The sequence below is a fragment of the Homo sapiens genome, chromosome 3 (genome assembly GCF_000001405.40).
Source record: "Homo sapiens chromosome 3, GRCh38.p14 Primary Assembly".
Classification (NCBI taxonomy): domain Eukaryota; kingdom Metazoa; phylum Chordata; class Mammalia; order Primates; family Hominidae; genus Homo; species Homo sapiens.
Genome location: NC_000003.12, coordinates 86,732,433 through 86,745,109, shown reverse-complemented (window position 1 = coordinate 86,745,109; position 12,677 = coordinate 86,732,433). Strand labels below are relative to the sequence as shown.

Below are 12,677 nucleotides of genomic sequence, written 5' to 3'. Positions count from 1 at the left end.
GCAAATTACTTGCTTTCTCTGAATGTTAGTTTCCCATCAGAAAAAAAGGGCTTTATTATTCCTGGCTCACAGACTCATTGTGGGATGGAATGAGACCACGGACCTGAGAACAACACTGCATAGTGGCCTAGAGCTCAGATGGGGAGTTTCCTGAATGGTCACTATGTTGCTATGTGATGCTCAGGCCCCAAACACATGGACTTATGGGGCCAATTGTGCTTCGGGTGATATTGCTGTCTTCCATTCTATCACAATATTTTGATCCACCTTGGGATAAATATATTCACCAGATGATTGACCCTCAAAGAAATCCACAGCTCTTTGGGGAAGAATCCTTTTGGTGTGTTAATAGTAACGGTTATTGGTATAACATGAGAAACAGGGGTTACCAAGGAAAAAACACATTTACTTGATGACTCAAGTCAAATTCAAATAGATTGTTTTGTCTTTTAGTCTATTTTGTTTTGTTTTATGGGCACACTGTTAAGTCCTTTAAATGAATCTGATATACTATTTAGTCTTTATTTACTAAGTGTGACATGATTTTTGAATAGGTAATTTGTATGAGAATATTGAAAAGTCTGATAACATTCTGGTTTAGAAATTTATAACTTTTTAATTTTTTACAAAACACAGAACTTTTGGAACTTGTGTGTTTGTCAAATAAGTAGAATGTAAGATGTGAAAACTGCATTTTGATATGGCCACAACAAAAATTCTTAACTGTATAAATTTCAGGATTGTCCTACATTGCTGGAAATTTTAAGTACAAGTAAGAATGACAGATTATAATTAAGTGTATTTGTCTGTGCCATCTGGAGGCCTTTTACAGACCATTAATTGGTAGGGCTATTACTATGCTCTCAGTTAATGGATTCTGTCAGATTCAAGCTCCAGATTTTTTTGTAGTTGAAGGGCTGTTTGTGGGTTTGAATTAAGTGCTTAGTTATTTCAATGATGTGTGTGACTATTACTAAATGCTACTTATTCATCTCTGTACGTCTTACTTTTTTAATGGATTGAAACTCAAAAATTTTACTGAGGCTTTTGCAATTTTGGATCAGCAGTAATGAAAATGTACTTATTGTGTGCATAATTGCACACAGTCTGTAGAATACTACTTACCCTTTATTTAGGGCTACCTTAGGTTAAGTGAAATGTCTTCTCAGCATAGCAGGTATTGGGGGGCAAAAACCCCACATCCCTTTAATTAAATATGTATGTCATTGTTGTAAATAAAAAAAAGTCTGGTGTTTTTTTCTATGGTTCCTGGATGGAAACTTATAAACCACTGGGATATTTCTGTTGCTAGGAACAAATCAAAGGTTGAGTAGTGTAGGGTAGGATTTAAACCACATTTGAATTTACGAAAAGGAGATAACTCAGGGTGTGGACTGGTCATATCAGAATAATCGACCATATAGGTAGAAATGTGGGACTTTTGAGCCACATGATATTAGCCTGACTTCCTGGCTTCTGGGAAGGAGAGAGCTGAAGATTGAGTTCAATCACATGGCTAACGATTTAACCAATCATGATTACATAATGAAACCTAAAAAAAAAAAAAAATCCAGAAACTGAAGCTGAGCTGAGCTCCCTGACTGGTGAACACATGAATGTGCCAGGTAGGTGATACATCTGAATTCCATGGGGAGAGGATATGGAAGGTCTGTGCTCAAGATCCTCCCAGACTTGCCCTATGTGTCTCTTCATTTGACTGGTTTTAATTTGTATTCTTCCAAATAAAACATTAGTCATAACTGCCCTGAGTTTTGTGAGTCATTCTAGCAAATTATTACAACTGAGAAGGTCATAGGTATCCCCAAATTTCTAATCAGTTCATCAGAAGTACAGGTGGAGATGGACTGGGACTCCCTAACACTGTGGCTGGCATCTCAAGTGAGATCAGTCTTACTGGGGGCTTGTGCTAACTTTTGGTGGTCAGTGTCAGAATTGCGTCACAATATTTCAGCCTTTCAACTTATTTCCACCTAGCATTCTCCATTTCACCCTAGAAGTGCTGCCTAAAAGCCTCTAAGAAGGCCAGATTTGAAACTGTGTAAAATTGTATTACTTGTCAGCCGAATAAACTGATTTTCCATGTTCTGATCATAGGTACGGTGACCTTCATTATATAAGTCAAACGTAGACAGTGTTAATGTTGTGAAGAGGCAAAATGGCTCAGTGAAAACAGAATGAAACTTGGGAGTTAGGAATTGAGTATTCTCAGAATAACTCTATTGCTAACAAGAACTGTGGTCTTAGAAATAATTGGCTAATCACTTAGAATCTGTTTATCTATCCAGAAAAATAAGGCAGTTGTACTAAATAATCTATAACATCCCTGGTACCCCTTAGGCTGCAAGATTTTTTTGAATTTCAATACCTGTTTCCTTGTCAGCAGAAGGGAGTCAATCTGACTGAATCTCATTCAACTATGATAAGAAATAACTGAACCATTTCTCCCTGTAGAAAAGAAGCAGACTCTATCCTTTCTGAATATGTTAGGATTCTCTTAAAATTTGGCAATGGAAAGTCTCAGTTTTTATGAAGCCTGCAGTCTAGTAGACTAAATAGTAAAAGTGTTAGCAAAAGACAAAGTAAATATGTTTTAAAAGTACCAAAGTTTTTTGTTTTTGTTTTGTTCTTTTTTTTTTAGTTAATGATTAGTGGCTCAAGGATATAAATAAAAAGAAGGGGATGGATGTTAACAGTGGTGGGGTCAGGTACAAATATGTTGATCCTTAATTTCATACACAGTACTTGAAATTCGAAAGACCTACCATATCACTGATACATCAAAATAAACTTCATGATGTTTGCCAGCAGTGTCTATTGTGAGTTTCCTCCCACACCTGGTGTTTCACTTATTTTGGGCACTGTACTTTGCCCATCAGCACTGGAATAAGGGTTGGGAGAGTCAGCATTCAGTCCAATCCTTCCTTCACCCACCTAACTTACATGGACAAACAATTAGACTGTCAAAAGAATGCATTACTCATGAAATGAGGGATTTAGACTAGTCATGGTTCTTAACATGGGTCCATAGACTCTAAAATTTGTGAAAACTACGAACTTAGATTAAGAAAAATTATATATTTATTTTCAAAAACCTCTAACTGAAATTCAGCTTTTCAATTATGAATAACTTTAATAGTAACAGCATTTCCTATGAATACTTCACCAATAGAAGTCACAGATATCTTGTATTACATTAGTGTTGTTATAGATATCTCAAATTATTATTTAGTCCTATAATTATAGAAAAATTATGGCAATTATTAGTTCTTCCTATTAAAGGCCTTAATAAAGAATATACCCAAAGGACTATAAATCATGCTGCTATAAAGACACATGCACACGTATGTTTATTGCGGCATTATTCACAATAGCAAAGACTTGGAACCACCCCAAATGTCCAAAAATGATAGACGGGATTAAGAAAATGTGGCACATATACACCATGGAATACTATGCAGCCATAAAAAATGATGAGTTCATGTCCTTTGTAGGGACATGGATGAAATTGGAAATCATCATTCTCAGTAAACTATCGCAAGAACAAAAAACCAAACACCGCATATTCTCACTCATAGGTGGGAATTGAACAATGAGATCACATGGACACAGGAAGGGGAACATCACACTCTGGGGACTGTTGTGGGGTGGGGGGAGGGGGGAGGGATAGCATCGGGAGATATACCTAATGCTAGATGATGAGTTAGTGGGTGCAACGCACCAGCATAGCACATGTATACATATGTAACTAACCTGCACAATGTGCACATGTACCCTAAAACTTAAAGTATAATAATAAAAAAAAAGAAAAAGTAAGCCTACTAGTTTTAATAGAAAGCACTTTTCCCTCAGCATCCATCAGTGAAGCAAAATATAATTTACAAAGAGAGAAACAGAGACAGAAATTGTCCCTGTAGTTGAATTCTCTAGGGATATAACATCAACATTAATATGGAATGGCAATCTTAGTTAAAACATTTTTAAAATAAGTGACATATCTGCTTACTGCTTGAATGTATGTGTTCAATTTTGTTTTGTTTTGTTTTCTATTTCTCATCGCACTCTGGCTTTTTGAGGGAAATTACTCATATCAGTGCAGAAGCGAAAGTATTAATACAAGTCAGGAGGCTCATCACACATTAAGGCACATGTAATCCTAAGCACCGTGAGAAAGGAGCAACAAGTCTGGAATTTGGAGTAAAGCAGGGCCATATGTAAGTCCAAGCTGCAACACATACCAGCCATGTCATCTTAAACAACTTAAACTTTTCTTAGTTTCAATTTTCTCTTTTAAAAATTCCTACTTTAAGGACTATAAAATATTTAGTGTTTAGCACAGTGATGAGAACATAATACATGATTGATAAGTGGTAACCATTTTCAACGTGATTATGAGATCCTGTTTTTCTTTGTTGGCTTCAATTTCTTCTTTTTTTTTCAAATGAGCCACTTGGACTAGGTAATTACTAAGGATAATCTCATTTTTAACATTCTGAATCTTAATTTTTTAAATTTAATTTTGACATTCTGTCACCACCTCACTCCATCAGTATAATTTACAGAGTCACATTATGCAATTATTTCATAAAATAATTCTCTATTATTTCATGCTATTATGAAATGAGTCTCTATTATTTCATGAAAAGCAAATAATTAACTGAAACTATTTATATTGCCTCTGATATTTCACAATAACTCTGATAGAATAGTATAATAGCTTTTTGGAGTTTCTCCGACCTGTCATCTTTCGGACATATTGCCACATCTTTCAGAGGCATTTAAAACCATAGGTGTATTATCTGATGGTAGAACAATGTTATTTTTAAATAAGTTATCTTAACCTTTGCAGTTTGCCAAAGATTTGTTTAGGAACCCCTATGGAAACAGGAAATTTCCTTATAAGCATATGACTGGCACAACACTTAAATAGACATTCTAACTTAAGTACTCACTTTCAGTAGGTGTACAACATTGTGTTAAATAAAATGTTTGTGAAAATTGAGTAGGACCTAATGATAGGTTTTACAAATAAATACAAATACAAAATTTAGTTAGATAGCATTTACATTTTTGCATTTCAAAAATTAATGATTTACACTTTTCAATTTATATTCAAAATGTTCAAGGGTATAGGTCCCATATAAATAATTAGAACTACAGTCTATGTTGCAGATACTGAACTTTGGATTTTTCATTCGTAATGCGAAGACAGTCATGTAAATTGGATGACTGAAGAACAAGAATGAAGTTTCTAATTAATAGCCAGTTTAAGTACACATTGCAAAGCTTTGGGGTCTGAGTTACTTGTTTTTGGTACTTTCCTTAAAATCTTTGCTCCTAACATAATTACTATGAAGCAAAAACAAAAATCCTTGTCTTTAAAATGGTTGAGGAGGGAAAAAATGGGACAAAAATCATTTATGTAAACAGTTAATTTTGGACTAGTGAGAGAAAAAACCCTACAACGAAAATTGCCTATTTGCTAATGAAAATTGTTAAATAAATATGTTACTTTTTAGAAAAAGTCAAAAGGGTGACTAAGTACTCAAACTCTACATTTTTTTGTGTGTAGCGGTTTACAAGACTATCATCATCCTTTCACTATACATTTGATTTTTATGGGCCTCAAATCTTCTTTGTATTGAATTTCTGTTGCATTGTAATCACAACAGAAGATTTATTACAGTACAACTCTTTTGCTAAGTGGAGGACTGAGCCTGCAAACTGACTTTTGATAGCACATTTATGGAATGGCAAACTATTAGACAGACAAATTTTTTTTGGTGGTAGTTGCTAAAACCCACAACAGAGAAATTTCCTTTACCAGTAAGAATTTAACGACCAATAAAAGCTGTATGGGGAAGGAGAATCAATATAACAATATGAGAAATTTCAGGAAAATGCTGCATATTTTGACCTATCACAAAATGCTATTATTTCAAATAAAAAATGAAAATATATATAAGATTAGATTTATTTTTTAGGTTATGAGAAAAAAATCTTAGAAATGGGCCATATGTAACTTCACTTATAACTTACTGAGTATGTATTATAGTGTCATAAATTCAAAAACAAGGTGTAACTGATTCCAATTGACCTCGATGTAGGTCTATTTCCTAGATGGATGGTTGAACAATTTCTCAATTGACATAGTGTAGAGCTTTCTTTTCCTTTATTTATTTATTTATTTATTTATTTATTTATTTATTTATTTATTTATTTTGCATGGATTATCTAAGGTAACTGATTAGATTTCCACTGCATATTTTCACAGTGTAGAAACAGACTATGAATCTTCCCAGAAGGCAGGTCAAATTCAATTACATTTTTCATACTGGATGTTTCAGTCTCTGATTTCTCAGGTACCAACAATTCATACCAAATGTCCATATCTGGCCCTAACTTTCATCTGGCCCTGATGTTATTAGAAAGCCTTCTAATGGAGTAATAAGCAATTTGAGTGGGTGAATCAAGGACAAAAACATTTTTCCAATATTCTCTGGTCAAAGATGTTGGGAGGGTTAATCTTGATTCTGCAGCTGTTCCTCCAATACATCTTAAAAGTTCTTTCCAAGCAGTATCTTTATTTTAAATATTTTGATTATGCTACATATTCATTAAAATGTGGCTGATGTTAAACTTGCTGATCTGGGCACAATGAGTCAAAAGTCATGTAAGCCTTAAATTATAAAACATAGGAAACAGGCAAGACAAAATTAATAGGCATGTAATTTCAAGTAAAATAATTTCTTTATGTAGATATAAATCAAGAAAAAATAGCATATAATTTTTTTTATCCAAAAGCAGACCACCACTGAAACACAACGAGTTATCTTGGGTGGCACTATCCAAACCACAAATATGGTTATTTTATATGAATCAATAAATAGCTACATTATGATGTTTAATCTAGCTCATAACATTCATCATTAACTAAAATATAATAGTTTGTCCTTTTTATTTTGTTGCTTGTATTCCCGGCTCTTATTCCATTAATGTAAGCTTTCTGATTGAAGGCTTTGTCTGCTATGTTTGTCACTACCTACTTCACTGTAAAAGCTCAATTAATATTGGTGACCAACAGATACTGAGTTCCTATTTACCCTATCTCTAACGGGACTCCAGTGATTCTAATTTTTATGTATGTAGAACTTCACAAAAACTTCTGATACATTATCTTTTTAAACCTCCAACATCGCTAGAGAGCTTAAGATATGCATTCTTTCTTTTGTCATTTAACGGTTGAGAATATAGAGGTATACAAAGTCAAAAGATCTAGAAATTGAGTTGAATCTATGTTATCGCACTAAACAGCTTGTGTTCGCTCACATGTGATATGATTTTAGGAGGCTTCGCCTTTAATGAAAGTGAAGGTGTTTTAGTGTTCTCGTTTTAGTTTCTATTTTATAATGGTCAAAGACTGAATGCATTACACAGGACAAATCAGTCCATTAGTGACAACAAAAGGAATTGAAAATACAACCTAATAACTAAGTAATTGGATTGGTAAATAATGCAGTATGTGATAATCTCTCTCCCAAAATAAAATGTTAAATTCTTCTGGAAAGTTCTATCAACATTATTTGAAAGAGTAACTTTGAACTAACACCAAGATATATTGGAGTAATAACCATCATTTACCTCTATAGTATTTTTACATGACTAAGCCATTGTTCAGAACTCAAATAATTGAATTTGACTGCTAAATTTTTTGTTGCAAAAATCTAATAACTGGAAGCAAATGTAAAGTAAATGTTTATTCAGATCTATGGAGAACTCTTTTTAACTCCAATATTTAATAGAGTGTCAAAGCAAATTGTGACTACAAGTTGCAAATTTTATTTTCTATATGCTATTTCAAGCGTGTTTTGTTTTTTCAGCAGACCAGCATAGATGGGAGTGGGGTAGCAGAATCTGAAAATAGAAAAGCAAATTAATTCAACTGTGGATTTTGTGTGAGATATGATGATCTGGTTACAAAGTTTTTAACTAATGTCATAGGTTTGCTATTTCTTATGCCCAAAGCGATAATCTACTCTGTGACACTGGTTTGTGAGAGATTTGATAATACAAAATTTCTCTATTGTATATATAGTGTCACAGTGGTTGCAGAGTTAAATAATAAGCTTATAAACAGCAATATTTGTTTTATTTCCACCCAGAATTCATATAGTAGGATTCTTTACTATGAAAAACGTTTATTAATAAGAACAATTTATACTAAAATATACTTATAATACTAAATTAAGGTGGATTAGCATGCTTTAAATATAGTACAGACTCCAATATGATATATATGTTATGTTAACTTTTTGAGGGGAATATTTGAGGGGCATATAAACAGAAAAATTTTAAAACTGAAATCATACTTTTGGAATGAAAATTCAGGGCTTAGATAAAATAAAGCCTTAGTAATGCAAGACTAAAATGGCTCTTACTCTTATGGAGTCTATTTGTGCTCATATTAAGTTTTTACTCAGTTTTGTAACTTTCATTTTTCTATTTCAGAATTTAACCACTTCCTTTTTTTTTTTTTTTGAGACAGTTTCACTCTGTCATCCAGGCTGGAGTGCAGTGGCGTGATCTCGGCTCACTGCAACCTCTGCCTCCTGGGTTCAAGCGATTCTCCTGCCTCAGCCTCCTGAGTAGCTGGGATTACAGGCGCCTGCCACCACGCCCGGCTAATTTTTGTATTTTTAGTAGAGACGGGGGTTTCACCATGTTGGTCAGGCGGGTATCAAACTCCTGACCTTGTGATCCTCCTACCTCGGCCTCCCAAAGTGCTGGGATTACAGGCGTGAGCCACCTCACCAGGCCTGACCACTTTCCATTTCATGTCTTATTATTTATCCCAAAACACCAAGAAGGGATAATTTTGTAAGAAAACTGTGTAGTTGTCTAAGCGTTGAAACTGATGCCTGTTGTTAAAATTTATCTGATCTTTTATACAAATTGATCTTTACAAACCTTTTAATGGTTCATTTTAGTTTATTTTTTTTCTAGTATTTTGAGGGAAAATGGATATTAAAAAATAATTTAGTTTAACTCTCTGTTAAGAAAATTATTACTGATGATAGGTCTTTTGTGCAAAGAAAATCTGTTCTTAAAAAAATCTAATACTTCAAAAGATTCTTATTCACCTTTTAAAATCTGATTACTTTTTCCTTCATTTCACTGAAAAATACGAGCATTTTAATGGAGGTTATGGGTAGAAAAGAGAAGGAAGGAATAGTCCTTTCAGAAAATAAAGAACATCAAGGGACAATATACCTAGAGTTGGAAATGAAGCTAAAGGTCTGTTTGAGAAAAGGCATGACAAATTATTGAATAGGGTATCAGAGAAGGAAGAGGCAGAGAAAAACTTTACATTTATCAAAAATTTTGCTGAGAACTTGTTCTGTGCAATGTTCTCATTTTAGGACTCAACCTAATTCAAACTATTTAAAGATGAGAAGTAAACTTAAGAAACAAAAGGATATTTTTTCTACACACTAATAAACAACAGTCAAGTAGGTTACCCTAAGTATTTTAGACATAGTCGACGTGATTTTATCAGTAATGATAACAGTGTGTGTGAAATGAGGAAATTAAATATACACAGTCTAATTCCTCCCGACCTCATAAAATGTTCCAATACTTTAAATAGACTTTAACAGTGTTTCCACAGAAAAGGAATCTATTGCTGCCAGTGGGCTTAAATAGTGTAAAATGCTATTTATAAAATATTCACCAGCTGTAGGTAAAAAACAATTTTTCTCCAAATTGAGAAAATAGAGGCTTAATATTTTTGAACCAGTTATTTCCATTTTGTTGTATTTTTGAAAGTGAATTTCAGCAGTTTTGGGGGACTGGTAAAATGCTGTCATGTTCATTTTCTCACTTCAGTGTTGTGCTTTAAGGCTTATCTTCCTAAGTAGATTTTAACCCTTTACCCTGTTTTTCAATTAGTCAGATATCCTACACTTTAAGGGTAAGTTTTGTTACATCTGCCAGTGAAAATACAAAAAGTCGAATGATATTGCTTGAATTCTAACTAATAAACTCTATCTGAAAGACCTGAGTATGGGTCTAGCAGTAACAATCGATAGCTCAAAGCCCAACCCTAACCACACAATCATGATCATCTTTTTGCAGGTATGTTAGAAAAGTGGTAATTCAATAATGCTGATTTTCATTTAAACCACTGAGCCTCTTATAGGTTCAAGTAAAAGCTTTTGTGAAACTAATATGATATCCATTCAAGGGCTAGATAGTATAGCTGAACACTCTGCCAGGTAAATTGTAGTTTGTTCACCTACGATAAAAGTAACAGCTTTGTGTTCCACAGATTTCCGGTGCCTAAGTTTGGTAGTTTGGTCTTCTGTAACATTTTTTTTTTCCTTTGAGATGGAGTTTGCTATGTCACCCAGGCTGGGGTACCATGGCACAATCTCGGCTCACTGCAACTTTTGCCCCCCGGGTTCGAGCAATTCTCTGGTCTCAGCCTCCCAAGTAGCTGGGACTACAGGTGCACACCACCACGCCCAACTAATTTTTGTATTTTTAGTATAGATGGGGTTTCATGATATTGGTCAGGCTGGTCTCAAACTCTTGACCTCAGGTGATCCACCCGCCTCGGCCTCCCAAAGTGCTGGGATTACAGGCATGAGCCACTGTGCCCAGCCCGTAACACTTTTTGAAGAATGAAGATTCATTAACAAAGATAGCGTTTGTACAGACAAATATTCAAAAGAATACAGAAAATACCTGTAGAGCTTTCTGATTTTCCACTGTGGGGCCTAAATTGCTCATAAACATTATTCATTGCAAATACACAAAATAGAAAAAAATCAACTGAAGTTATTTCTCTGAATTTTCATTTTGAGTTTTGTCATTATTGAGTTTTCACAGAAATATATGACAAAATACAGCCATATGTGTTAGTGTTTAATGTATTCAACATGATGATTGTGTAAGAAAGAATGTATAACTTTGTTTTTAAGAAGAAATTACACCAAGTAGACTCCACATAGTTCAGTCAAATTCAATAATTCTGAGGAAGGTCCTTTGGACCCTGTATAATAAAATGTTCATGCATTTATTAAACACTTAATTCACACACTTCTATACCTATTAGTCTGGCCAGCTGTGTAAGTGTTTATCCTCTTGTACTAAATTCCTGAGAGAACAAGTGTGTTCTTGTTGACATCCCTTAAACTCCTGCTGTCCCATAGCGGTTCAAAGCAATGAAGCAAGAAATTGAGTTGACAAGGTGGAGAGGACTCTTGATAGTATCAGCAGCAAACTATTTTGTGCTAATCATCAGACATGGCCTTGGAGAATTCTGGGTCCTAACTACGTCTCTTTTGATGGCTCTGTTAACCTGCAGGAGTTGGCCAATCAGATTGTGTCTGCAAGAATCTACAATTATAAATTAAAAAGCAAAATAAAAAAGTTGGACATTTAATTCTATGTTGTGAGAGGTGACAATGTGCTAGCAGCCCTCTCTCACTCTCGGGGCCTCCTCGGCCTCGGCGTCCGCTCTGACGCCGCTCCAGGAGCCCTTCAGCCCGCCGCTGCGCTGTGGGGGCCCCTCTCTGAGGCTGGCCCGAGGCCAGAGCCTGCTCCCTCTACTCGCCCGGAGGTGTGGAGGGAGAGGCGCAGGCGGGAGCCGGGGCTGTGCTCAGCGCTCTGGGGCTGGTGCAGGTTCCAGGTGGGCACGGGCTCAGCAGGTCTGCACTCTGCCCGCCCACACTCCGTGCCTGCTGGGCTTCATCTTCCCACCTGCTGGGCTTGATCAGGGGAGGAGCTCCCTCTGGGCTGCCAAGTGCCCGGGCTAGGTGACACAAAGTCCGGCAGCCAAGTGCCATTGAGAGCTGCTTCTGGGTTGGGTGGGGACTTGGAAAACTTTTGTGTCTAGCTAAAGGATTGTAAACGCACCAATCAGCACTCTGTGTCTAGCTAGAGGTTTGTAAACGTGCCAATCAGCACTCTGTGTCTAACTAAAGGTTTGTAAATGCACCAATCAGTGCTCTGTGTCTAGCTAATCCGGTGGGGACTTGGAGAACTTTTGTGTCTAGCTGAAGGATTGTAAGCTGAAGGATTGTAAAGGCACCAAACAGCACTCTCTGTCTAGCTAAAGGTTTGTAAATACACCAATCAGCACTGTGTGTCTAGCTCGAAGTTTGTAAATGCACCAATCAGCACTCTGTGTCTAGCTCAAGGTTTGTAAATGCACCAATCAGTGCTCTGTGTCTAGGTAATCTAGTAGGGACTTGGAGAACTTTTGTATCTAGCTCAAGGTTCATAAATGCACCAATCAGCACCCTGTCAAAATGGACCAATCAGTAGGATGTGGGTGGGGCCAGATAAGGGAATAAAAGCAGGCCACCTGAGCAAGCAGCAGCAACAGGTTTGGGACCCCTTCCATGCTGTGGAAGCTTCGTTCTTTCGCTCTTCGCAATAAATCTTGCTACTGCTCCCTCTTTGGGTTTGCGCCGCCTTTAAGAGCTGTAACACTGTAAAGGTCTGCAGCTTCACTCCTGAAGCCAGCGAGACTACAAACCCACCAGCAGAAATGAACAATTCTAGATGGGGGGAACGAACAATGCTGGACGCATCACCTTTATGAACTTCAACACCACGAAGGTCTGCAGCTTCACTCCTGAAGTCAGCAAGAC

At 36.0% G+C, this 12,677-nt stretch overlaps 1 long non-coding RNA gene across 1 annotated transcript in view; it reads right to left on the bottom strand.

Moving 5' to 3' along the window:
- Positions 1–7,834: 7,834 nt before the first annotated feature.
- LOC101927518 (uncharacterized) overlaps positions 7,835–12,677 on the bottom strand; it is a 78,207-nt gene continuing 73,364 nt past the window's right edge. Inside the window, exon 3 of the long non-coding RNA XR_941027.4 lies at positions 7,835–7,932. This is a non-coding gene — a long non-coding RNA (uncharacterized LOC101927518). The remainder of the gene's footprint in view (positions 7,933–12,677) is intronic.